This window comes from Homo sapiens, chromosome 16 (assembly GCF_000001405.40).
Source record: "Homo sapiens chromosome 16, GRCh38.p14 Primary Assembly".
Taxonomy (NCBI): domain Eukaryota; kingdom Metazoa; phylum Chordata; class Mammalia; order Primates; family Hominidae; genus Homo; species Homo sapiens.
The window spans coordinates 69329461-69354614 of NC_000016.10; the positions used below are offsets into that span (position 1 = coordinate 69329461).

Genomic DNA, 25154 nt, shown 5'->3' on the forward strand with positions numbered 1-25154 from the left:
TCCCACTTCTGAGGTACCTGTGGGCTCCCAACTCCTAACAGAGGTTCTGCAGCTTGAGACCCCACTTGTTTTTCTGACCATCTTGAACCGACGGGCTTGCTGTGCAGGAACAATCACCCCGACCCCAGCAGAGCCCGCATTCCGCGAGGCATCCTGTGGTACCACGGGGGAATGGCCTAGCCCCCTGGGCTGGGTCAGGCTGGCGGGGGCTAACCCCCACTTCTCCAACTCCACCGTGGCGGATCTAACTGGGGCCGAAGAGCGTGTTTGCCTCAGAGAGCAAGGGAGCAGAAAGCAGACGCCAGGCTGTCAGGTAACAGCGGAACTAGGGGACCTCTCCTCGCCCCTGCGTCCTATCTGAGCGGGCTCTACCCCACAGGAGCTTCTATCCGTCCTGAGGCCTCTCCGCTCCCGCATCCCACTTCGCTCCTGCGGGAGGTCCGGCGTATGAACCGCGACCACTTCTGCGCTCTCGCGGAGTCGGGCAGAAGAGACGCGCGCGCTGCTCCAGCAGCCCCGGTCCCCGCCGCCCGCACCTGAGATCTGCACCGCCTGGAAGCGGGGCACGCAGGCCAGGAAGCCGGCGACGCTCTCGCAGCCCTCGGGAAAGGTGACCAGGCGGCTGTCAAGCACTCGCAGGCTGGGGTTCACGAACACGCGCAGGGGGAAGGGCTCCATTTGGCGGAGCGCGCGCTGGCGGGGCGGGCACTCCCGACACAGCGCCTCGGGGAGCTCCAGCGCCAGCACCTGCCGCGGCACCCCCAGCTGCGGCGCGCTTAGGCCCACGCAGCGCCGCCGCCGCATCACCTGGACCAGCCGTTGCGTCAGCCGCTGCAGCTCGGGCCCGCCTAGCTGCGCCCGCTCCACCGGGGCCGCCACGCCGCGCAGCACCGGGTCCCCGACTTGGCACACGTGCGAGAACGGCGGTTCGGGAGGACCCAGCACCAGACGCCTCAGGTGGCGCCAATAGGAGCGCCGCAGCGCCGGGCCCTCGACGCCGTCCGGGGCGGCCGTGGAGCTGCAAGCCCGGACACCGACGGCTGCCGCCCCGCCCCACGGCACGGCCGCCCACAGTGGCCAAAGACTCAGCGCGCCCCACAGCCGGGCCATGGCGGCCCCCTTAACAGTGACCCGGCCCGCCCCTTCCGGCCGCAGCGCGGGGCACGCCGGGAAGCGCCGTCGGCCAGCACACAGCGAAGCCGCGACTGGATCCCCGCCTTCCTGCTTAGACTGGCAGTGAGCACCGCCCCCTTCCGCTCTCCTCCCGGGAGCGCCTTCCCGCCTCCCGAACCCGCCCCGGACCTTCCAGGGCGAGGCAGTCCTGGCCACCCCGCGCCGGGAACCTCACGCACCGCGTTCTGGAGGCAGGGGACGCCGGCTAGGGCCCCACGCTGGGCGGTTCGGCCTGCGTCTCCGCTCGCCCTCCCTCCGGGCAGGCTGGGCCCGCGGGCTCCAGGCGTGGCTCCTCGGCGGGAGGCTCTGGTGCTGGAGCTGTGAGCTCGGGCCCCAGCGCCTGGTCATCCAGGGTGAAAAGCGTCTCTCTCTTTGGCAGGATAAAGGCGAGGGGCTCCTGAATGGCGCCGATGTTCACATGCCCTAGGTTACCGTACTTGGAGAGCTGAGTGGGAGGAATGCCTAACCCAGACGTGGGGAAAGCAAAATGGAAAACAGTTACTAATAAAACTCAATATAGAAATTTAAGGGAGGCCGGGCGCGGTGGCTCACGCCTGTAATCCCAGCACTTTGGGAGGCCGGGGAGGGGGGGGCGGATCACCTGAGGTCAGGAATTCGAGACCAGCCTGACCCACACGGAGAAATCCCATCTCTCTTAAAAATACAACATTAGCCGGGCTTGGTGGCGCAGGCCTGTAATCCCAGCTACTTGGGAAGGCTAAGGCAGGAGAATCGCTTGAACCTAGGAGGTGGAGATTGCAGTTAGCCGAGATCGCGCCATTGCACTCCAGCCTGGGCCACAAGAGCAAAACTCCGTCTCAAAAAAAAAAAAAAAAAAAAAAAAGGAAATTTAAGGGAAAAAAAACGAGCCATTACTATTTTTTTTTTTGAGACAGTCTCGCTCTGTCGCCCAGGCTGGAGTGCAGTGGCGTGATTGCTGCTCACTGCAACCTCTGCCTCCCAGGTTCAAACAGTTCTCATGCCTCAGCCTCCGTGGTAGCTGGGATTACAGGCGCCCGCCACCATGCCAGGCTAATTTTTGTATTTTTAGTAGAGACGGAGTTACTATGTTGGCCAGGCTGGTCTCAAACTCCCAACCTCAGGTGATCCATCCGCCTCGGCCTCCCAAAGTGCTGGGATTACAGGCATGAGCCACTGCGCCCAGCCATCAATTACTATGTTTTAATACAGCAAAAACCACCTTTGTTACAGGGAATGGGAAGCTATACTGTGAAGCAGAACGTAACGGAACAGCAGTGTAGGGTGCCTGCAGCAGGAACCCAGACCTCAGGCAGCACCAGGGAAAAAGCAGAGGGCAGCCAGGCTTTGCACGTGTGATGCACTGACCCATTGCCCTTTGGGAAGCTGTGCCTCAACCAAGCCCCTCTCCTACCACAAAGGGACAAGGACGTGAAAGTGAATTGGAAAAAAGACTTTAGGACGGGCGTGGTGGCTCACGCCTGTAATCCGAGCACTTTGGGAGGCCGAGGTGGGCGGATCACAGGTCAAGAGATAGAGACCATCCTGGCCAACATGGTGAAACCCCGTCTCTACTAAAACACAAAAATTAGCTGGGCGTGGTGGTGCGAGTCTGTAGTCCCAGCTACTCGGGAGGCTGAGGCAGGAGAATTGCTTGAACCCGGGAGGTGGAGGTTGCAGTGAGCCAAGACTGTGCCACTGCACTCCAGCCTGGCAACACAGCGAGACTCCGCCTCAAAAAAAAAAAAGACTGTAAAAACCATTTCTCTAGATATTTCACATAAATGGAATCATACGTATGTAGTTCTTTTGTGACTGGCTTCTTCCGCTTAGCCAGATACAGCCACATAATGTATGATTCCATTTTTATGAAATGTCCAGAAGAGGCAAATCTATGGCAACAGAAAGTAGGTTGCCAGGGACTAAGGATGCTGTCGAGGAATGACTACAAACGTGCATGAAGGATCTTTTTGGAGTGATGGAAATATTCTAAAATTGGATTCATATTTACTAAAAAACACTGACTTACACAAATGGATGAATTATTTAGTATGTGAATTACACATCAGTAAGGCAGTTTACAGAATTTTCATTCTCTTACCTAAAGTCTGTGCTATCTGAGCTGGTGGAAAAAGGACTTGGAGACAGCGATTTAAATACGGAACAAGGTCTTCCAGGAAGACAGTGCAGAACTGGACAAAGAGCTCTTGCTCCCCGCTGCTGAAGGCAGCCTCTTCAGCGCGATGGAAGGCCAGGATTATTTTAGTTACCTAAGAGACAAGGGCACCGTCAATTACTGGGACAGCCTATCACCACTGGGACAGCAGTGCATGAAACTAGGCAAAAAAATGTATGCCCCTCCAGTTTTCCTGAACAAAGTAATTTAACAGTACATTATTTTACTGTCTCATTTAAACTCAGAATTATGGTCATTGTCCACAATTGTGTCACTTTATTAATGTGAAGTTCAGACCCAACTTGTTACATTACGGGTATAGTTTCCGGTTCCAGTGGAGGAGTGTCATAAAACTATAGAGAGAATACATGGTTTTGGTTTTTTTTTTTTTTTTTTTAGAGACAGGATTTTGCTCTGTCACCTAAGCTGGAGTGTAGCGGCACAATCAGCTCACTGTAGCTTCAAACTCCTGGGCTCAAGGGATACTCCCACCTTAGCCTCCCAAGTAGCTGGGACTACAGGCGTGCACCATCACGTCTGGCTAAGTTTTAAAATTTTTTGTAGAGACAGGGTCTTGCTTTGTTGCCCAGGCTGGTCTGGAGCCCCTGGCTTCAAGAGATCCTCCTACCTCAGCCTCCCAAAGTGTTGGCATTACAGGCGTGAGCCACTGCGCCCGGCCCAATACATGGTTCTTAACTTCCACGGAGGACCAACCAGAACTGTGCTGGATCCAGGAAAATGAAGCAAAACTATACAAGCTTTCTACTAAGCCCCGAGGTTTCAGAAAGCTAGAACCACTGGAAAACTGTAAGAAAACAGCTAGGAAAGAGAAGTTTCAAAACCAACAGAGCAGCCTAGCTGACACTACAGATATGTGGCATAGCGACAGGGTAAGAACACAGACTCTGATGCTGGACTTCCCAAGTTCAAGTGACTCACACCTGTAATCCCACACTTTGAGGGTCTGTAGCAGGAGGATCACTTGAGTCCAGGAGTTTGAGACCAGCCTAGGCAACATAGGGAGACACTATCTCTCTGTAAAATAAAACACTTTTAACAATAAAAATAAAAGAATATGCTAAAGGTAAAGGGTTTTGTAGATGTAATTAAAGTCCCTAATCATCTGACTTAATCAAATGAAGTTTTTAAAAGGAGGTACCTAAAAGAAGAGACTCAAGAGAGTAGCTCTCCTGCTGGCCTTGAGGAAGCAAACAGCCATGTTGTCAGCTGCCTATGGAGTGGACAGCCTCTAGGAGCTGAGGCTTCAGTTCTGCAATTGCAAAGAACTGACCCCTGCCAACTTGCATGAGTCTGAAATGGAGCCCCAACCTCCAGATGAGGCCATAGTCCAGCCAACACCTTGATGGCAACCCTGTAAGACCCTGAGCAGAGAGGACCCGGTTGTGCTGTGCCTGGACTCCTGACCCACCAAAACTGGAAGGTAATAAATGTGTTGCTGGAAGCTACTAAGTTTGTGGAAATTTGTTATGCAGCACTAGAAAGCTAATACGTGTATTACCGAATTGTTACTATAGGCAAATCACTTCATGGACTGTCCTAGGTCCCATGAAGGGCAACTGGCCAGAGCTTCTCAATCAGGAGAACCTCCAAAACCACACTAGACCTCTCCATGTCAGCAGACACCGTCAAATAGACGGGTTTATTACAAAAATCTGGCCACCCATTACCAGAGAAGGCCCAGGGTAGCAGAAAACCAACAGAATGTGCTCACCTTGGCAAGGGCATCTTCCAAGGCCCCAGTCACATCCTGCGCCAGGGCCACAGGGCAGCAGAGGCGCAGATCATTGAAGGCAACCAGAATATTGTTGAGAAAGCAGGCGAGGGGTGGGAAATCTAGGAGCACCATGGGTGGCTGCAGCGTCCCCGGCTGGGTGGCTGGCACAGCAGCAGGCATGTTACTGGTGCCCAGGATGGCTGGAGCCGAGATGAGCATGTAGGAGTTCATTTCTTCCTGGAATTTCTCCACTGTTTCCTGAATTGCTTTCTGGAAAGTGCTGATGGCCACCCGCTGGAAAACAGGAGCCAACTGACCCCGGAAATCAGCTCCCACCCGGCTGAAGGACAGCCCAAAGTACATGCACTGGCCCAGCAGAGAGTCCAGGTGGCCGCCTATGCCCCGGTAAAGGTCGGTCTCCAGCACCTGCAGGAATTGTGAGACCTTCTGTAGCACCCAGCCATGGAAGATGGCACTCTCATTCACAGTGTGCTCACCCATGGCAGGGGGCAGCAGTGGGTCCTCGTCTGAGAAGATGGCACGGTACTGGGTGATGATATCAAAGAGATGGACACGGGAGGCCTCGATGGTTTTTGTAATATGGAAATAGGGATCATCATTAGGAATGGCAGTCAGGATGGACCGGAGCCAAGCATCTCGGGCCTGAAGAAACTTCACCCTCAACTCAGCCTCAGTGAAGACGTCCATGCGCCGCAGGTAGCCAATGACACGGAGGCAGGCAGGAAGCTGGATGTTGGTCCTCAGTTGCTGGATCAGCTGGCTCAGCATCAGCTGCATGGACTGGCGCACTTCGTTCACGATGCCCTGACAATACACAGAGAGAGTCACACTGCGCTGGGAAGGATGCTCTCTAGAACCCATTCCCCTAACTCTGAAGACTGCAGACCAACATTCCCATGGCTTTCCTGAAATGTGAAGTAATTTCCTAAAGCTGATGCCTGTAGGTTCACCAACAAAGATCAGGTTAGTTAACTCTCTTGCTTAAAAAGCTTAAAACCTGGCCAGGTGCAGTGGCTCAAACCTGTAATCCCAGCACCGTGGGCAGGCAGGTCACTTGAGGTCAGGAGTTTGAGACCAATCTGGCCAACATGTGAAACCTCGTCTCTACTAAAAATATAAAAATCAGGTGGGTGTGGTGGTGCAGGCCTGTAATCCCGGTTACTCGGGAGGCAGAGGCAGGAGAATCACTTGAACCCGGGAGATAAAGGTTGCAGTGAGCCAAGGTCGCACCACTGCACTCCAGCCTGGGGGACAGAGCGAGACTCTGTCTCAAAAAAAAAAAAGAAAAAAAAAAAAGCTTAAAATCCTCCAGTGACTTCCCACTGCAATCAAGAAAATTCCAACCACTTGTTGGGACTTACACTGGTGGCCCTACCTGGCTCTCCATCTTCACCTGCTTCCTAGTGCTCTCCCGCTGCTACAATCCATTAACCCTGGCTGCCTCTGTATCCCTTAAACACCTCAATTTCTGCCCACTTCAGCCCTCTCTACTTGTTCTTCACACTTTCTGGTTTGCTCTCTCCCCAGATCTTTGTGGGCTGGCACCTCCTTCTCATTTAGGTCTCAGCTTAAATGTTACCTCCCTAGAAGAGTCCTTCTTGATCACCCTACCTAAAGAAACCTACCCTAGACTCCCTTACCCCATTCCCTGTTTTTTTCTTCAGACACCACTATCTGAAATGATATCATTTCTTTGTCAATTATCAGACTTCCCATTAGCACGTAAGCTGCATGAGAGCCAGGACCACTTTATTCACACTGTATCCCCAGCATATAGAGCAGTGCTTGGCACATGATTAATATGTATTTTGAATAAATGAATGTTTTCTGTTCAGGCATACCTGGCTGGCAGAAACTGATGTGAAACATGCAAGAGTTTCTACCTAAAGCTTCAGTCCTGACCACAGAATAAATGATTACAAGAACATTACTTTGAGTCCTCTCTGGGCAAGGTGGCTACCTGGATGACAGGGATGGAAGAGTATTTCCTCTCCAGTCGGCGTACGTAGGCTGCAAGCTCCAGGGCCTCTTCATAATAACTGTTCCGGACACAGGTGTCCATGAGCTGAGGAATCTCCAGTATTTCCAAAATTTCTGTGTGCCGGTTTAGGGTCAGGCTATTCATCCGGCGGTTGGAGCTGATCTCCTCGGCTTCCTTCACAAAGTTCCTAGTAATAATCAGAAGAATGTTGATCCTTCACTGCTCTGTACCCAAACCTTAGCTACAGTTACCAAGTACCTGCTATGAACATTGGGCTGGATGATCTATCTGATTTATTCCTCACACCCCACCTATAAGGTAAGTATTATTACAATTGAGGAAATTTTTAATCCCAGAGAGGTTAAGCAACTTGTCCAAAAACATACAATTAATAAATCTAACAGATGGAGATCCAGATATGCCACTTGCTGGCTGTGGCAAGGTACTTGGCCTCTCTGAACCTATTTCCTCATTAGTAAAACGGTATATAGGGCCAGGCGCAGTGGCTCACGCCTGTAATCCCAGCACTTTGGGAGGCTGAGGTGGGCGGATCACTTGAGGCCAGGAGTTCAAGTGAAACCCCATCTCTACTAAAAATACAAAAAATTAGCCAGGCATGGTGGTGCGCGCCTGTAGTCCCAGCTACTCAGGAGGCTGAGGCAGGAGAATCACTTGAACCCAGGAGGTGGAGGTTGCGGTGAGCAGAGATGGCGCCACTGCACTGCAGCCTGGCCAACAAAGCAAGACTCCGTCTCAAAAAAAAAAAAAAAAAAAGTATATAGGACCCTCCTCATAAGGGTGTAAGAACTAAATGAGATGATGTGTGTGAAGCATTTAACATAGAACTTGAAACAGAGCGAATGCGTCAAAGTAAAAATAGTAAAAGAGACACAGTTAAATATTTAACAGTAGCTATCATTATTTTCAAAATGAAGCACTAACTGCCTAGAATCCACAATCTTTCCCCTCAGGTCTTCATCTTCTCCTATGCTAATGTTCAACCATAGTTCCTGCCACAGTCTACTTTCAACACTTCTCCATATTTGCAGAGACCTGCTTTATCAAGTCCCCTATCTATTCTGGAGCATGGAAGGGTACAAAAGCTGCTGTCAAATATCCAAAGGCTCAAAAGAAAAATTAAACTTTAATCATGAAAGGCTGGAAGGCAGAACTAGGGATAATGGAGACAGAATATGACTCACAAAGGACTTTTTTTTTTTTTTTTGAGACGGAGTCTTGCTCTGTCACCAGGCTGGAGTGCAGTGGCACGCATCATCTTGGCTCACTGCAACCTCCGCTTCTCAGGTTCAAGTAATTCTCCTGCCTCAGCCTCCCGAGTAGCTGGGACTACAAGCGCGTGCCACCACGCCCAGCTAATTGTATTTTTAGTAGACATGGGGGTTTCAGCATGTTAGCCAGGATGGCCTCGATCTCTTGACCTCGTGATCCGCCTGCCTTGGCCTCTCAAAGTGCTGGGATTACAGGTGTGAGCCACCGCACCCAGCCTTTTTTTCTTTTTTTAAGAGAGTTTCACTTTGTCACCCAGTCTGGAATGCAGTGGCACAATCACAGCCCACCGCAGCCTCGACCTCCCAAACTGGAGTGCGGTGGCACAATCATGGCTCACTGCAGCCTCAATCTCCCGGGCCCAACTGACCCCCCCACCTCAACCTCCTGTGTACCTGGGACTACAGGCGCACGCCACCACGACCAGCTAATTTTTTATTTTATAGAGACAGGGTTTTGCCATGTTGGCCAGGCTGCTCTCGAACTCCTGGGTTCAAGCCTCAGGCTCCCAAAGTGCTGGGATTACAGGCTGAGCCACCACATCCAGCCATCCAAATGGAGAGACTTTTTGATATCTGATGCCCTCAAATGCGAGGATTTCCTTGTCACCTTCCCGTCAATGGAAGTTTTGAAGCAGATGACCTCCGGTCCACGCTTTCGTATAAAATAAGTATATAAATGTGCACATATATTCAGCTCACACCTATAATGTTAACTGTGTCAGACCCGATAATAAGAGCTTTGCATGAATCCTTTTTCTTTGTGCCCACAACTGCCCTTCGAGGGAGGGACGTGCTTCTGGGTAACCAGTTCTGAATTCGAAACCTCCTAGCTGTGTCCTTGGACGTCACTAATCTCTGTCTTGACTTGCTCATATGTAAAATGGAAATAACAGGGCTGGGCGCAGTGGATTATGCCTGTAATCCCAGCGCTTTGGGAGGCCGAGGCGGACAGATCACGACATCAAAAGATCGAGACCATCCCAGCCAACATGCTGAAACCCCGTCTCTACTAAAAATCCAAAAAAATTAGCTGGGCGTGGTGGCGCGCGCCTATGGTCCCTGCTACTCAGGAGGCTGAGGCAGGAGAATCGCTTGAACCCAGGAGGCAGAGGTAGGTTGCAGCGAGCCGAGATCTCGCCACTGCACTCCAGCCTGGCGACAGGGCGAGACTCCGTCTCAAAAAAGATAAAAAAGGAATAACAGTACCTATCTCGAAGGCTGTTGTGAGGTTTAAATGGATTAATAAAGCGCTCAGCAGAGAACCTGGAACGTGGTAAACGCTTTATGTGTTAGTTATTTCTACCATCGTAAATGTCAGCTTTTACAGTTATAAAACCCCTTTAGCGCCAGGCGCGTCGCACCTGCAGCTCTGCTGGAAGCTGGGCAAACGGTCGAGCAGGCGGCCGAGCGACGCCTCCACGTCGCCAAACAGGCGGTGGATGCGCTCGGTGCACTCGGCGCCGCGGATGAAGGTCTTGTAGTTAGCGAAGGCCAAGTCGCGCGTCTGCTGCAGCAGCTGCGCCCGCTCCTCCGCCAGGCGCTCGGGCTCGCGCCGCAGCCGCTCCAGCCCCGAGCCGCTCAACTCCCGGAGGTAGCGGCCCACATCGGGCCGCTCGCGCCACTGGGCCTCGGGGAAGCGGTCCCGGAACAGCGACGCCAGGAGCCCTTCATCCTCCACCTCGCCGAGAGCCGCTGCTGTGGCCGTGGCTACCGATGGGATAGTCGCCGCGGTCGCCATCTTCCCAGCAACAACGTCACTTCCCTTCCGGACCACAAGGGGCGCTGACTCCGAACTTAGGACAGGAAGAAACAGGCACATTTCCGGTCTCTATGCTTTCTCATCCGGCCGGCTTGCTTTCCCCTGCGGTCGTCCAGACTATTGGGCGCTAGCGAGACGAACTATTGGTACGGGGCTAGAGAGGAAGGCTTTGGGATTGCCGGGGAGCAGCGAGCGACCGACTTCCGTTTCCAGTTACCAAGGCACGAGGATCCGGTGTTCCAACCCAGGGGGAAAAATGCGGCCTTTGACTGAAGAGGAGACCCGTGTCATGTTTGAGAAGATAGCGAAATAGTAGGAGCGCGCGGGGCGGACGCGGGAGTGTGTGGGTGTGGTGGCCAAGGGTGGAGTGGGGGCGCGGTGCCGGAGACCGGTTCGTTCGGGCGCGGTCTCCAGTCCTCTTTTTGCCCTCAGCATTGGGGAGAATCTTCAACTGCTGGTGGACCGGCCCGATGGCACCTACTGTTTCCGTCTGCACAACGACCGGGTGTACTATGTGAGGTGAGGCGGGGCCGGGCAGGCAGCATGGACCCAGGGGAGAGGGGTCCTGGGTCCCACGAGCCTCCTTCATCCGCAACCTTGCTCCCCCTTTACCCTTTTAGTGAGAAGATTATGAAGCTGGCCGCCAATATTTCCGGGGACAAGCTGGTGTCGCTGGGGACCTGCTTTGGAAAATTCACTAAAACCCACAAGTTTCGGTTGCACGTCACAGCTCTGGATTACCTTGCACCTTATGCCAAGGTTTGTGGGGCGGTTTCCAATTCTGCCACGGGCGATGAAGTCAAGGATTAGGCAGATTGTCCGGCAGCTTCTCTCCCACAGAGTCCCTGACAGTGTGCTTGGAGGAGTTTCAGCACATGGAGATGTGTAGAGGTCTTGCAGCTTGAGCATGGTCAGGGCTATGGGATAGGAATGCTATGTGGCTGCGTAGGGTTAGTTTTCTCCAGCGAAGTAGAAGAGCCTAGGGAGACCCAGCTAGAGATCAGAAAGCAAATAAGTGGCAGCAATGAAGACACCGGGGTCCAGAAAAAGAGCTGTTAACCTGGCCATGGAGGATGATCCTTGTAGAGTTGAGAAAATAACTTTTTCTATTTTTTTCTTTTTCTTTCTTGCTCTGTTTTTTCTTTTCATTTCTCTTTCTCTTTCTTCCTGACACAGTTTCACTCTGTCGCCCAGGCTAGAGTGCAGTGGTGCGATCTCACTGCAGCCTCCACTTTCCAGTTTCCAGTGATTCTTGTGCCTCAGTAGCTGGGATTACAGGCATGTGCCACCACACCTGGCTGATTTTTTTGTGTGTTTTTAGTAGAGACAGTGTTTCACTGTGTTGGCCAGGCTGGTCTCGAACTCCTGGCCTCAAGTGATCCACCTGCCTTGGCCTCCCAAAGTGCTGGGATTACAAGCGTGAGCCACTGCACCGGGCAACTTCCTGCATTTCTGTTCAGGAGATAGACAGTTTGAGGAAAACATGAGTCTCTCTGTTTCCCTTAAAATTATTTCAGAAAATTATTCACAGATCCAGCAGCTAGCTTGTCTGCATGGATAGAAATAGTAACGTTTTTATGTCTCTTGGATTTTAATTCTCTTATAGTATAAAGTTTGGATAAAGCCTGGTGCAGAGCAGTCCTTCCTGTATGGGAACCATGTGTTGAAATCTGGTCTGGGTCGAATCACTGAAAATACTTCTCAGTACCAGGGCGTGGTGGTGTACTCCATGGCAGACATCCCTTTGGTGAGTAGAGATGGTAGCTGTTACAGAACTCAAGTACTCTTATTCAAGAAGGGTATGTCTTCAATCTGAGTGCTTGAGAGAATAAATTCTCAGCACGTTTTGAATCCCAGAAAGACCAGAACTGTATTTTTTCCGTCTTTGTTATTTCCAGCCCTCAATATGGGCATATTGAATGACTTCAGTGAGTTAGTGTCTCTTCTTTTGAATCCCAGGGTTTTGGGGTGGCAGCCAAATCTACACAAGACTGCAGAAAAGTAGACCCCATGGCGATTGTGGTATTTCATCAAGCAGACATTGGGGAATATGTGCGGCATGAAGAGACGTTGACTTAAAACGAAGCCATTCCAAGGACAGACGGCTGTATGGAAAGGCCGAGCTTTGTTTCCTGTGTTTGTGTGGACTCCACCATCATGTTGAATTTTGTCAACACTCTGGCCTCTTCAGGGACTTCTTATTTACTGTACTCTCTATCACTGACAAATGCAGGCTGGATTCTTATTATATACAGAGATGGCTCAAAAATGGGGTTTCAGATCTTTGTGACGAAATAGAATACTGTTTCATATTTGAATCAGAGGGCTTCTTGTTCTGAGAAATAGGTTCAAAATCATTGGAACCAGGAACAAGAATAGCTTATTGTTATCTGTGATAACACTGTTTTCTAAACACAAGGATTTTCTTTTTTATTAATATGCAACATAGACATTGCCATAACAGAATAATAAACCACATGTGGGGTTTTAAAAATGAAATTTGGCTAATAGGAGCAATTCAGCTATTTTTCTATACAGTAATTGGTGTGTGGTATAGAAGAAAAACGGGTTCAAACCCCACTTCTGCCACCTACCAGCTATATGGCCTTGAATGAGTCATTCAGCTTTAATAAGGTTCATTTTCTTCTGTTTAAAAAGACACAAAACTTGAAAATCAGCTTTGGCCATCTACCTGAGAATTAGAAAGTCTGATTTTTGGAATTAGAAATCATGATTGTAGGCTGGGCACAGTGGCTCGCGCCTGTAATCCCAGCACTTTGGGAGGCCAAGGCGGACGGATCACTTGAGGTTAGGAGTTTGAGACCAGCCTGGCCAACATGGTGAAACCCCATCTCTACTAAAAAAAAAAAAAAAATTAGGTGTGGTGACACATGGCTGTGGTCCTAGTTACTTGGGAGGCTGAGGCAGGAGAATGGCTTGAACTGGGGAAGCAGAGCTTGCAGTGAGCCAAGATGGTGCCATTGCACTCCAGCCTGGGCGTGACAGAGTGAGACTCCATCTGATTGTAAAGCATCTAGTACAGTGTACAGTGCCTTGGAAATGATAGGTATGGAATAAATGGTAATTATTTTTATATTATATATATTATGTATTCCTGTTATTAAGTGTAGAGTTTTATGAGTATAATTTGATTTTATTACCTTCTTTTTTACAAGCTGTTTTCTCAGTATTTTTCTTGGATGGGATGACGCTAGGCTGGAAAGTTTTTTTCATCACTATGATTTTATAAAACAATTTTTTCTATGAACCTTTACTTACTTGACTGGATTGGACTAAAAGCACTGATCAGAGGCCACGACATAAAAATTCAGTCCCTTTGTCCTTCCCCGTGCCTCCCAAAGTTACTTTAAGATCCTTAGAATATTTCTTTAAATATTTTATAGACAAAAAATTTAAAGACTATCTGTATTGCAAAATTAAACTATTTCTTTAATGAATATATTGCTTATTTTAAGTTCCAAAGGTGAAGTCTTTAAGAATAAAACATTACCAACTCCTGCTTTTATATGTAAGCAAACTTGATTGTGGCCTTTTTCAACTCATCTTCCTTCTAAGGTTTTCTGTTAGCCTCTAAGTAGACTCAGTGAAGGCTAAGGGACTGCTATATGATGAACAGTATTTTGATGCATACATTTAATACATACTTCTTCAGAACTTTTTCACTGTTATGATTTTATTGCCATTTTGCTTTTTTAGATGTGTGCAGCAGACTAAAACATTAATGAGATAATTGATTTTTGTCCCATAACATTACAAAGCTGATTCGACTAAGCCCCAGAAGAAAACAGCCAGGGTGCTATAGTCACCTTAGCTTAGCATCTTGGCTTCTTTGTATCTGTAGTTGTTGGAACATTGAAGAGACGCTTCAAGAAATACAGTTGCAGGATCCCAGAAAGAATAATAACAAGGCTCTGGGCTGTCGACCACCAGTTCACGTAGTTATAGTTTGATTGGATAAGGAAAAAGTCAGCCATTTTCCTCATCCGGGCAAAGTTGTAGTATCGCCACATGTGAAAGATATTGTTCTGCACCTTTTGTGTGCCGTCCTATGAGAGAGACAATTTTAAGGGGGATTCTTCCAAACCCCCATCTAGCCTCACCTGAGCGCTCACTAGCACTAACCTATCTCAAGTCAAATAATTTACCCATATGATTTTAAGATGTACAATACAATGATAGTTGTTAAATGTTGTGTTTGCTATGTATGAAATATGGTCTGGATTTGAGTTTAAAATTTTTGTTTTTGTTTTATGAGACAGGGTCTCACTTGTTTGCCCAGGCAGGAGTACAGTGGCGCAGTCACAGCTCACTGCAGCCTCAACCTTCTGCGCTCAAGTGATCTTCCCACCTCAGCCTCCCTAGTAGCTGGGACTACAGGCACATGCCACTACACCCAGCTAATTTTTTTTTTTTTTTATTGTAGAGACAGGGTTTTGCCATGTTGCCCAGGCTCATCTCGAACTACTGGGCTCAAGAGATCCACCCACACTGGCCTCCCAAAGTGTTGGGATTATGGTCATGAGCCACTGCCCCGGCCTTTTGTTTTGTTTTTAAATAATGGAAAACTTCAGTACTCAAACTAGAGAGCTCTTCCAGAGGACCTCTAGATTTAGATGTACTCAGCATGTCGTTACCATTCCAGGTGATGTTTTATGTTCTCTGTATATGGTAGAAGACAAGGGCCTGTGGACTTTTTATTAAAAGGCCAGATGGTAAATATTTTTGGCTTTGCAGGCCCCTGTGACTGCTGAACTCTTGCCATTGTAGTACAAAAGCAGCCACAGACAATATGTAATTGTCAAATGAGCATGGCTGTGTTTCAAGAAAACTTCCATTTACAAAAACAGGCAGTGAGCTTTTGTGCATTTAGGAGAGACTATTAAGAAAGTGAAAAGTGGCCGGGTGCAGTGGCTCATACCTGTAATCCCAGCACTTTGGGAGGCCGAGACGGGCGGATTACCTGAGATCAGGAGTTTAAGATCAGCCTGGCCAACATGGTGAAACACCGTCTCTACTAAAAATACAAAAATTAGCCAGGTGTGGTGGCACACGCCTGTAATCCCAGCTACTCGGGAGGCTGAGGCAGGAGAACTGCTTGAGCCCGGGAGGCAGAGGTTGCAGGGAGCTGAGATCGTGCCACTGTACTCCAGCCTGGCCGACAGCACAAGACTTTGTCTCAACAAAAAAAAAAGAAAAAAAGAAAGTGAAAAGTGGCCGGGCACGGTGGCTCGTTCCTGTAATCTTAGCACTTTGGGAGGCCAAGGTGGGCAGATCACCTGAAGTCAGGAGTTCAAGACCAGCCTGGCCAACATAGTGATACCCCATCTCTACTAAAAATACAAAAATTAGCCAGGCGTGGTGGCACCCGCCTGTAATCCCAGCTACTTGGGAGACTGAAGCATAAGAATCACTTGAACCCGGGAGGCGGAGGTTGCAGTGAGCCAAAATTGTGCCACTGCATTCCAGCCTAGGTGACAAAGCGAGACTCTGTCTCAAAAAAATATAAATAAATAAATAAATAAAAATACAAAAGTTAGCTGGGCATTGTGGCACACGCCTGTAGTCCCAGCTACTCAGGAGGCCGAGGCAGGAGAATCGCTTGAACCTAGGAGGCAAAGGTTGCAGTGAGCCAAGATCACGCCACTGCACTCCAGCCTGGGAGACAGAATGAAACTCCGTCTCAAAAAAGAAAAAAGAAAGTGAAAAGACATTGCCAGAATGGGAGAAAATATCTGCAACTCACATATCTTAGGAGGGATTTGTATCCAGAATATATAAACAAAATTCAACAATAAAAAGACAATTCAGGCAGGGTGCGGTGGCTCACGCCTGTATTCCCAGCACTTTGAGAGGCTGAGCTGGACAGATCACAAGGTCAGGAGTTCAAGACCAGCCTGACCAACATGGTGAAACCCCCGTCTCTACTAAAAATACAAAATGTAGGTGGGCGTGGTGGCACGTGGCTGTAATGCCACCTACTCAGGAGGCTGAGGCAGGTGAATCACTTGAACCCAGGAGGCAAAGGTTGCAGTGAGCCGAGATCACACCACTGCACTCCAGCCTGGACGACAGACTGACTCTCTCAAAAAAAAAAAAAAAAAAAAAAAAAAAAGTAAAATGGGCAAAGGATTTTCATTTTTTTGAGATAGGGTCTCACTGTCACAGCCTTGACATCCTGGGTTCAAGCAATTCTACCTAAGCCTCCCGAGTGGCTGGGACCACAAGTATGTGCCACCACACCCGGGTCATTTAAAAAGTTGTTTTGTTTGTAGAGACAGGGTCTTACCATGTTTCCCAGGCTAGTCTCAAACTCCTGGGCTCAAGCTATCCTACCTCAGCCTCACAAAGTGCTGGGATTACAGGTGTTGGGCCAACTGGCCTGGCCTAAAATGGGCAAAGGACTCGAACAGACATTTCTCCAAAGAAGAGAGATGGCCAATACGCACGTGAAAAGATGCTCAACATTATTAATCATTAGGGAAATGCAACTCAAAACCACAAGATAACATTTCACACCCACTAGGATGACTGTAACAAAAAATAAGTGTTGATGAGGAAGTAGAGAAATTAGAACCTTCATACACTGCTAGCAAGAGTTTAAAATGGTTTAGCCACTGTGGTAAACAGTCTCCAGTAATTCCACTTTCAGGTATACACAGATGAAAACATGCTAACACAAAAACTTGCATGCAAATGTCCATAGCCACGTTATGATAGCCAAGAGGTGGAAAAACCTAAATATCCATCATGTCCATTAACTGATGAATGGATAAATAAAATGTGTATCCATAAAAGAGAGTATTATTCAGCCATAAAAAGAAAAGTACTGATACATGCTACAACATGGATGAACGTTGAGAACATGCTAAATTAAAGAAGCCAGTCTTGGCTGGGCGCGGTGGCTCATACCTGTAATCCCAGCACTTTGGGAGGCCGAGGCGGGCCAATCACCTGAGGTCAGGAATTTGAGACCAGCTTGGCCAACATGGTGAAACCCTGTCTCTACTAAAAATGCAAAAATTAGCCGGGCATGGTGAGAGGTGCCTGTAATCCCAGCTACTTGGGAGGAGGAGAATCACTTGAACCCTGGAGGCAGAGGTTGCAGTGAGCTGAGGTTGCGCCATTGCACTCCAGCCTGGACAACGAGCAAAACTCCGTCTCAAAAAATAATAAAAATAAGCCAGTCACAAAATCCCATGTACTGTGTGATTCCATTTAAATAAAGTGTATAGAGGCCAGCCACAGTGGCTCAAAGTGCTGATTAATCTCGGCACAGTAGCTCATAATGCTGAGTAATCTCAGCTCAGTGGCTCAAAGTGCTGAATCTGAGCACTTTGGCAAGCCGAGGTGGGAGGATTGCTTGAGCGCAGGAGGTTGAGGCTGCAGTGAGCTGTGATCAAGCCACTGCACACTGCAGCCTGGACAAGAGTGAGACCCTGTCTCAAAAATTAAGTATAGAATAGGTAAATCTATAGAGACAGTAGAACAGTGATAGGCAGGCCTGGGGTAATAGAATGGAGAATGACTAATGGGGAGTGGGATTTTGAGGGTGGGGTGGGTGATAAACTTCCAGAATTAGATGCTGATAGTTGCACAGCCTTGTGAATATACTAAAAAACCACTGACTTACACACTTTTAGATGGTGTACGGTGTATGAATTATATCTCAATTTAAAGAAAAACAGGCAATGGGCCAGATTTGGCCTGTCAGCCATACATAGTTTGCCAACCCTTGGTATAAAACGAAGATGGAATTTCAAGAGCTTCAAGTCGTAATTTATTTTGAGACGGTGTCTTGCTGTATCCCAGACTGGAGTGTAGTGGCGTGATCTCGGCTTACTGCAACCTCTGCCTCCCAGGGTTCAAGCGATTCTCCTGCCTCAGCCTTCCGAGTAGCTGGGATTACAGGTGCGCACCACCACGCCCAGCTAATTTTTGTATTTTTAGTAGAGACAGGGTTTCACCATGTTGGAAAGGCTGGTTTCGAACTCCTGACCTCAGGTGATCCACCCACCTCGGCCTCCCAAAGTGCTGGGATTACAGGCGTGAGCCACCGTGCCCAGCCAAGTCATAATTTATGAAGAAATTCACATCCCCTTGCCTGTTTGGTTTCTACCTAAATGAAGTCATCTTCCCTCTGAAGTTAAAAATCAGTTTCCACAGATGTTTCTCTTCCACAAAACACTTCCTTACCTCAATTGCATCCAGAGTATCATTCAGTTGTTTTCTTTCCTTCTGTTTGTGATCAGTCTCAGGCCCCTCATAGAAGACCCCAAAGTTGAGGTACACTTGCACAGAACCGAAGTGATTATGCTGATTACTTAGACAAAGCTGATAAAAACCTGTAGGAATTCTTAGATCATTACCAAGTCTTTGGTCTCCTCCCCTTTGTTAAGGATTCCCTGGAGGTATCTGTCCTCTAGTTTTGGAATTCTACTACAGGACCTTCTTTTTACTTAGAAAGTACAAAGATCCCGTTTTTGACATGGAAGACACGGACCTTATGTTAAACTTATACTAAATATTACTTATTATATTTGGCCAAATTTTAGTAACTCGTTCTTTCCATACTGGGTAGTGGCAAACAATGTTTTCTCTTTAACATATAATTCCCACATCTTGTATTAAGGAACTCCTGCTCAACAGATTGAGTTGAAGTTAAGAGCATGGTGTTTGCCTGGTCCTTGTATACAATTAAAGCTAGGGACACCATCTTGAACTTGAAATTAGGAAAGACAAAAAAAAAAAATAGATGCATAGTGCATGAAAGCAGCTCTCCTGGAGTGATTGCCTCCAAGGCGGTGTGTACAGTGACTCATGGTTTGGTTATATCTGTTGGGGCTGGGGTTGCCTCCCTTTGTGTGTGCGGGGGGGAGGGGGGCGCGGGGTGGGGAGCGGGTGGGAAGGAGCAAGGTGGAGAGGACCGGTAGAAGATGGGTGGGGTGGGATTAGAAAGGTGTGGCAGTGTTTGAAAGTCAAAATGATTGGAAGGCACTACTGGCATGTAGGGGCCAAAGATGTTCAAGATCTTTTTTTTTTTTAGACGAGTCTCGCTCTGTTGCCCAGACCGGAGTGCAATGGCGCGCTCTCGGCCCACTGCAGTCTCTGCCTCCAGGTTCAAGCAATTCTCTTGCCTCAGCCTCCCAGGTAGCTGGGATTACAGGCGCCTGCCACCACACCCAGCTAATTTTTGTATTTTTAGTAGAGACGGGGTTTCACCATATTGGTCAGGCTGGTCGCAAACTCCTGACCTCAGGTGATCCGCCCACCTTGGCCTCCCAAAGTGCTGAGATTACAGGTGTGAGCCACCACGCCCAGCCTGTTCAAGATCTTTTAACACTGATACACATGCTGTGCTTCATAGTGAAGGACTGTCTGATGCCCCTGTTGAGAAAATGTCTTTTTTAGTGCAGCTGGCTATTAAAGAGGGCAGTTAAGACACTGCTGCTCTCCAAAGTGGGACAGGCTTGACCTGGCTGGAGGAGTGCTTTGCTGTGGAGTGTGGATATCTCACATGGATATCATGCATTTTCTTTTGTTCTGAATCTGCTTTTAGTAACTGACTCAAATATTCTGATGACTGGAAAGACATGCTTCCCTGTAATCCATTTGTTAATTGGAATTCTGTATTATAAATGGGTCTCTGTTTTTTGGTCACTTTCCCAGAATCTGATTAACTGGAGATGATGAGATAAAATTGAGCGGCTGAACCCTAGACTTAGAATGCTCACCTGGAGTGTTGCCCCCAAATCGTCAGTAGACTGCCACTTGGCATCCTTGGAGGTCAGCAGCCTCCAGGAACACTGGTTTTTGGTGTTAAAGGCTGAATTTTTTTCCTACTGTTAAAACATCTCTGTATACTTCCTCATTATTTCTGTAATTTCATAGGACCCTATGATTATTATAATAGCCATGGTAATGAAAACAGACCTGTCTCTTGGGTAGAGAAGTTAATCTGGCCCCGAACACCCTGGGAGGTGTCTATGAGAAATCCCTGTGGGTTATGTGCCGTGGCAGCAACATGCCGGTCATGTGACATCCCCACTGTCCGCTGAACCTGCCAAGACACATTAAATAGGTAGCAGAACCCCTGCTACATCACGAGGAAGCCAGCTGAGTGGTAAGATTGACGTCCCACGGTCATCAGCACAGCGGTCTCTGTCTGGGGTGGGACTGCCCAACCCCCTGCTGGGGTTTGGAGTTGATTGGAGGATTCTGAGGTATCACAGTGATGGTGTTAAGGGGAGGCAGCACAGCATTGCTGAACGTCTGCAATGTAAGAAACAGTACAGCAGGACAAAGAACTGCCCAGAATGCCAACAGCACCCGTGTGAAGAAGACATGCCTTGCTCGGAACACACAGCTAGTGTGGATCCACTAAAATGTATGATTCTGGGCCGGGCGCGGTGGCTCACGCCTGTAATCCCAGCACTTTGGGAGGCCGAGGTGGGCAGATTACAAGGTCAGGAGTTCGAGACCAGCCTGGCTAACATGGTGAAACCCTGTCTCTACTTAAAAAATACAAAAATTAGCCTGGCATGGTGGCGTGCGCCTATAATCCCAGCTACTTTGGAGGCTGAGGCAGGAGAATTGCTTGAACCCGGGAGGCAGGGATTGCAGTGACTCGAGATCATGCCACTGCACTCCAGCCTGAGCGACAGAGCAACACTCTGTCAAAAAAAAAAAAAAAAAAGTACGATTCTGGCTGTAGAATTTTTTATTTTTTTTGAGACGGAGTCTTGCTCTGTCACCCAGGCTGGAGTGCAGTGATCTTGGCTCACTGCAACCTCCACCTCCCAGGTTCAAGCGATTCTCCTGCCTCAGCCACCCAAGTAGCTGGGATTACAGGCACATGCCACCAAGCCCGGCTAATTTTTGTATTTTTAGTAGAGATGCGTTTTCACCATATTGGCCAAGGTGGTCTCGAACTCCTGACCTCAGGTGATCCGCCTGCCTCAGCCTCCCAAAGTGCTGGGATGACAGATGTGAGCCACCGCACCCGGCCTGGCTGTAGAGTTCTTGAATGAACTTGCTTGGTGGTTGAGCTCCCCAATGATGTCCCAGATTTGGGCATTTGCTGCTTGGCAGTGCACACCTACAACAAGCACTCCATGGACACTTGCTCCCAAGCTAGATCTTGATTAGGCCAGGCCACAGTGAGCTTAGTAGTGGCTGCTGTTCTAATAGAAATTCAGAGGTAAGAAAAGTCTCTGATAAGTTTATTTAAAATAAATGTTGTTACAGTGGAGTAAGATCAACAAAGTCTATTACTATGTAAACAAAAATTAGAAAGTTAACCGATTTCTAAGATAAAGAACAAAGGAAATGAACAGCCTCTAACTTTCATACTGAGTTCACCATCCTTGGACAGCATGATATAAGACCATAGTATGGGTAAAAGTACTTGACCTTTGAATAAGTAACTTGAAAACACTTACCGTCCTAAAAAAAAAAAATAGGATTAACTGGCCGAATACAAAAAACTTGACCTAGTGAATCTCTGACTTGCCAGAATTGCTCCTAAAGGCAGCAGAACCTTTACTCCCCCACCCCATAAGCTGAAGCAGCCTTCTTTGAAATCTCTGGATCAGTCTCCAAAGCACCATTATCCAATTTTGTTTTAATATATTAAAAATGTATTCTCTCCCCTCTCATCCCCAAATCCGAGTACATGTAATGATTACCTCTTCAGGGAGAGGCACCCCGTCTGCCCCATGGCTTTGAGCATGGCCCCTGATGTAAGAAGCCAAACCATATGTTTTAGCTCCTGTTGGTGATTATTCACCCAGCTGGAGTTTCCCTCTAACTGCAGGTCCATTTCATTAACAGGTGGGGAATCACAGCATAATAAAGACAACCAGACCTTGTTTTGGCCTAAAACCTGACCCACTTTATGAGTAAAGGAGAAAAAAAAAAGCCCCCCAGTATGGCCAGTCACCCACATACCTCGTAACTGAAATAGAAGTATCCAGTCTGGTGGGCAAATTGCCAAAAGCATTCCGTGCCTCCTGGAGGTATCATGATGGCAAAGTCATATCGATCAGCTCCACGGAAGAGTGGCTGGTCCCCAGAGCCACTTAGAGGTTCTGTCTTCTGGCTCCTGGCAGACGTCACTAGATTCAGAACGACCAGCCCAGCCCCAAAGAGCAAAGGGGACATGCCGCTTTCTGGAGCCTCCTCTGCAGGTGAACTGCTCGCAGCCCAGGGAAATCAAGTCGTTCAGACAACCGCTGGGCTAATGATTAACTCCACAAGTCACATTACGGCCCATTTCAGGGCCACACATAGATATTCATCATAGAACTGCCATGATACTCCCATGTTTGGCTCGCAGGAGGAAATTTTGCTTTCACCTCAAAAACTCAGTGGCTTACCAAACCTACTTCATGGGTGCTACATAGAATCTACCACCTCAGAAGAGGTCTTTCCACCCTTCATTAGGGCTGTCATTTTTTAGTTCCTGCTTCTTGGGGATATAATAGTGGGTAAGTTTACAACTTCTGAATACACTGACAAAAAGTTGGCTGGGGGGATTGTTCTCTTACATCAAATTGCTCCTATAAACACATGGGGCAACACTTCTCTCTCCCCAATGCTGCAGCTCAGAGCAAATCACAGCATGTGTGTGCAAAGATGTAAATGGATGAATACAGTGCCAGAGGATGGTGCTTAGACCCCTCCACTGACAGTCCTCGTCCTGATGCCTTTCACCTAACGGTCACCTAAAGCTATCCAAACCCACTGAAAGACAATTATATTATCCAAAGCCTCAATCTTTTTTTTTTTTTTTTTTTTTTTTTCTGAGATGGAGCGTAGCTTTGTCACCCAGGCTGGAGTGCAGTGGCACGATCTCTGCTCGCTGCAACCTCCACCTCCCCGGTTCAAGCGATTCTCCTGCCTCAGCCTCCTGAGTAGCTGGAATTACAGGTGCCTGCCACCATGCCCGGCTAATTTTTGAATTTTTAGTAGAGACAGGGTTTTACTATGTTGGCCAGGCTGGTCTCGAACTCCTGACCTCAAGTAATCCACCCGCCTCGGCCTCCCAGAATGCTGGGATTACAGGCATGAGCCACCACGCCCAGCCTTGATCTTTCTTTTATTCAGGACTTCTTCAGCACCCATGGGGGAAAAAACTATCCAGAACCCACTTAAAGACAATTATATTATTCACATCCTTAATCTTTATTCTTTTATTCATGATTTCAACACCCACCTCCTTCATGGCAGGCACTGAGCTAAGATTTACCTGCATCTTATTTTATTCTCACAATAGCCCTGCAAGGGAGGTATTGTGAGCTCTGGCATTAGAGATGAGGACACAGACATTCAGAGATTCCAGTGGTGGCTCACGCTCCCACAAGCACACCTGGCAGAGCTGGGTCCCCGGTGGGGGCTCATGCTCTTAACCACCAGGCAGGACAGTGTTTCTCATTCTCAAGCTGTCAGTCTCTGAGTTCTGACACTGCCTAACCATTTTTCAGTCCTAATCTTTTTTTTTTTTTTTTTTTTTTGCTTCCTTGAGATGGTATCACTCTGTCTTCCAGGCTGGAGTGCAGTGGCACAAACATAGCTCACTGCAGCCTCACCCCCTTGGGCTCAAACGATCCTCCCACCTCAGCCTCCCAAGTAGCTGGACCCACAGGAGTGCACCACCACACCTGGCTGATTTTTGTATTGTTTGTAGAGATGAGGTTTTGCCATGTTGCCTAGGCTGGTCTCAAACTCCTGGGCTCAAGTGATCCCCATGCTTTGGCCTCCTGAAGTGCTAGGATTACAGGTGTGAGCCACCGTGCCTAGCCTTAGTCATAATCTTAAAAAACAAAAAACAAAACAGCATTAACACCTTCCAGCAATTATTTGCATTGACTCAAAGTGTCACAAGCTAAGTAGGCAGAAAACAGACTCTATACATGGGGTTCAGTTCTAGCAAAGGCCAAATGACAGCACAGCACTCTGGGAGCACAGTGGCTCTATGGCAGTCTTGCTCAAGTGACAGAAGAGTCTGGGAACTTCTATCAGCACACGTGGCACAGGCATCCCCCACCCGAGTCCCACCACCGTCGCAGTCCTAGCACTGGTCATGCCATAAGCAGTGACTTGGTTTCGGCGAAACAATCGTCAGTTCATAGTAAGTTTTATAGTTCTACAGAAGCTGTAAGCATAGTTTTATCTTTGCACACATTTCAATAACTATAATAAAAACAACACTGAATTATGTGAAAAAATATTAATGAACATAGGCATTCTCAAGTTTAAGAAACACTGATGCCGGGTGTGGTGGCTCACGCCTGTAATCCCAGCACTTTGGGAGGCTGAGGTGGGCGGATCACGAGGTCAGGAGATCGAGACCATCCTGGCTAACACGGTGAAACCCCATCTCTACGAAAAATACAAAAAATTAGCCAGGTGTGGTGGCGGGTGCCTGTAGTCCCAGCTACTCAGGAGGCTGAGGCAGGAGAATGGTGTGAACCCAGAGGCAGAGCTTGCAGTGAGCTGAGATAGCACCACTGCACTCCAGCCTGGGTGACAGAGTGAGACTCCATTTCATAAATAAATAAATAAATAAATAAATAAATAAATAAATAAATAAAAAGAAACACTGATTAGGATATTTTGTTTCCCTAAATGCATCAGTTTCACTCCTCTACCTGGAGAGCACCATTGACTCACATGAGAGTTAAGGGGAGAAAAGCTTCTGGATTCTAATCCGGTTCAGAGGGAGACCAAACCAGCTGCAGGCAGAAGGCGGCTAGCCTGAAAGGAGCTCAAGTTCTCAACTTCTCCCTGTGGTTTCAGTTGGGGTTGGTTGATAGAAGAACAATAGGTACTAAACCCCAAAATGCAGTTAATAGGTAATAAAGCTGTATGAAGTTTCCAACTTGTAACTAATGGATGAATTTTTTTTTTTTTTGAGATGGAGTCTCACTCTATCACCCAGGCTGGAGTGCAGTGGTGCGATCTCGGTTTATTGCAACCGCCACCTCCCCGGTTCAAGCGATTCTCCTGCCTCAGCCTTCCGA

The 25154-nt window shown here is 48.2% G+C and overlaps 4 protein-coding genes across 12 annotated transcripts in view, besides 9 other annotated features; 1 reads left to right on the forward strand and 3 right to left on the reverse strand.

Annotated features, from left to right (window-relative positions):
- The window catches only part of PDF (peptide deformylase, mitochondrial), a 3676-nt gene extending 2548 nt beyond the window's left edge, over positions 1-1128 (reverse strand). The window contains exon 1 of the mRNA NM_022341.2: positions 537-1128. Within this exon, the coding sequence (NP_071736.1) occupies positions 537-1110 (574 nt within the window). The 5' untranslated portion in view covers positions 1111-1128. The remainder of the gene's footprint in view (positions 1-536) is intronic.
- COG8 (component of oligomeric golgi complex 8) overlaps positions 1-10104 on the reverse strand; it is a 13137-nt gene extending 3033 nt beyond the window's left edge. Inside the window, exons 1-6 of one of the 8 annotated variants that reach the window (NM_001379261.1) lie at positions 9716-10104; positions 7045-7252; positions 5061-5888; positions 3254-3422; positions 1775-1915; positions 1353-1635 (exon numbers count right to left, since the gene is read on the reverse strand). In NM_001379261.1, the coding sequence (NP_001366190.1) occupies positions 1379-1635; positions 1775-1915; positions 3254-3422; positions 5061-5888; positions 7045-7252; positions 9716-10092 (1980 nt within the window). In that variant the 5' untranslated portion in view covers positions 10093-10104 and the 3' untranslated portion in view covers positions 1353-1378. Of the gene's footprint in view, positions 1-1352; positions 1675-1774; positions 1916-3119; positions 3423-5060; positions 5889-7044; positions 7253-9715 lie in introns of those variants that run through there. The other 7 variants (NM_001379262.1, NM_001379264.1, NM_032382.5 and 4 more) reach the window with 7 other exon arrangements.
- Positions 494-1141: an enhancer, noted in NCBI's record as "H3K27ac hESC enhancer chr16:69363857-69364504 (GRCh37/hg19 assembly coordinates)". NCBI's record gives its function as "activates a minimal SCP1, AML or CMV promoter by ChIP-STARR-seq in naive H9 embryonic stem cells {active_cell/tissue: H9 hESC(naive)}" and the evidence as "EXISTENCE:reporter gene assay evidence [ECO:0000049][PMID:30033119]".
- Positions 494-1145: a biological region, named in NCBI's record as "H3K27ac hESC enhancer GRCh37_chr16:69363857-69364504".
- Positions 766-1145: a silencer, noted in NCBI's record as "silent region_7656". NCBI's record gives its function as "represses an Ori minimal core promoter by ATAC-STARR-seq in GM12878 lymphoblastoid cells {active_cell/tissue: GM12878}" and the evidence as "EXISTENCE:reporter gene assay evidence [ECO:0000049][PMID:35858748]".
- Positions 1176-1565: a silencer, noted in NCBI's record as "silent region_7657". NCBI's record gives its function as "represses an Ori minimal core promoter by ATAC-STARR-seq in GM12878 lymphoblastoid cells {active_cell/tissue: GM12878}" and the evidence as "EXISTENCE:reporter gene assay evidence [ECO:0000049][PMID:35858748]".
- Positions 1790-2437: an enhancer, noted in NCBI's record as "H3K27ac-H3K4me1 hESC enhancer chr16:69365153-69365800 (GRCh37/hg19 assembly coordinates)". NCBI's record gives its function as "activates a minimal SCP1, AML or CMV promoter by ChIP-STARR-seq in primed H9 embryonic stem cells {active_cell/tissue: H9 hESC(primed)}" and the evidence as "EXISTENCE:reporter gene assay evidence [ECO:0000049][PMID:30033119]".
- Positions 9781-9830: a silencer, noted in NCBI's record as "silent region_7658". NCBI's record gives its function as "represses an Ori minimal core promoter by ATAC-STARR-seq in GM12878 lymphoblastoid cells {active_cell/tissue: GM12878}" and the evidence as "EXISTENCE:reporter gene assay evidence [ECO:0000049][PMID:35858748]".
- Positions 9841-9890: a silencer, noted in NCBI's record as "silent region_7659". NCBI's record gives its function as "represses an Ori minimal core promoter by ATAC-STARR-seq in GM12878 lymphoblastoid cells {active_cell/tissue: GM12878}" and the evidence as "EXISTENCE:reporter gene assay evidence [ECO:0000049][PMID:35858748]".
- Positions 10311-10430: an enhancer, noted in NCBI's record as "active region_11036". NCBI's record gives its function as "activates an Ori minimal core promoter by ATAC-STARR-seq in GM12878 lymphoblastoid cells {active_cell/tissue: GM12878}" and the evidence as "EXISTENCE:reporter gene assay evidence [ECO:0000049][PMID:35858748]".
- On the forward strand, positions 10312-13646 carry NIP7 (nucleolar pre-rRNA processing protein NIP7). 2 transcript variants are annotated; one of them, NM_016101.5, is made up of 5 exons: positions 10312-10425; positions 10546-10632; positions 10734-10872; positions 11720-11860; positions 12073-13646. In NM_016101.5, the coding sequence occupies exons 1-5, from the start codon at positions 10370-10372 to the stop codon at positions 12190-12192; spliced, it is 543 nt and encodes a 180-aa protein (NP_057185.1). In that variant the 5' UTR covers positions 10312-10369; the 3' UTR covers positions 12193-13646. The 2 variants fall into 2 exon arrangements, with proteins under 2 accessions (NP_057185.1, NP_001186363.1); NM_001199434.2 differs by lacking the exon at positions 11720-11860.
- Positions 10611-10690: an enhancer, noted in NCBI's record as "active region_11037". NCBI's record gives its function as "activates an Ori minimal core promoter by ATAC-STARR-seq in GM12878 lymphoblastoid cells {active_cell/tissue: GM12878}" and the evidence as "EXISTENCE:reporter gene assay evidence [ECO:0000049][PMID:35858748]".
- Positions 13790-22326, reverse strand: TMED6 (transmembrane p24 trafficking protein 6). The gene is made up of 4 exons (NM_144676.4): positions 22081-22326; positions 20065-20191; positions 18328-18476; positions 13790-14180 (listed from the first exon to the last, which is right to left on the reverse strand). Exons 1-4 carry the CDS (start codon positions 22291-22293, stop codon positions 13947-13949), a joined length of 723 nt encoding a protein of 240 aa, NP_653277.2. The 5' UTR covers positions 22294-22326; the 3' UTR covers positions 13790-13946.
- Between the last annotated feature and the right edge of the window lie 2828 nt (positions 22327-25154).

Excerpts from the sequence above, each read along its gene's own strand:
- TMED6 (NM_144676.4), bottom strand. The coding sequence starts at position 22,293 with ATGTCCCCTTTGCTCTTTGGGGCTGGGCTGGTCGTTCTGAATCTAGTG. Across the intron at positions 20,192-22,080 it reads ACTTCTATTTCAGTTACGAG|GTTCAGCGGACAGTGGGGAT; the intron begins GTATGTGGGTGA and ends GTGTCTTGGCAG. Across the intron at positions 14,181-18,327 it reads ATACTCTGGATGCAATTGAG|GACGGCACACAAAAGGTGCA; the intron begins GTAAGGAAGTGT and ends TCTCTCTCATAG.
- NIP7 (NM_016101.5), top strand. The coding sequence starts at position 10,370 with ATGCGGCCTTTGACTGAAGAGGAGACCCGTGTCATGTTTGAGAAGATA. Across the intron at positions 10,426-10,545 it reads TTTGAGAAGATAGCGAAATA|CATTGGGGAGAATCTTCAAC; the intron begins GTAGGAGCGCGC and ends TTTTGCCCTCAG. Across the intron at positions 11,861-12,072 it reads CCATGGCAGACATCCCTTTG|GGTTTTGGGGTGGCAGCCAA; the intron begins GTGAGTAGAGAT and ends TTTGAATCCCAG.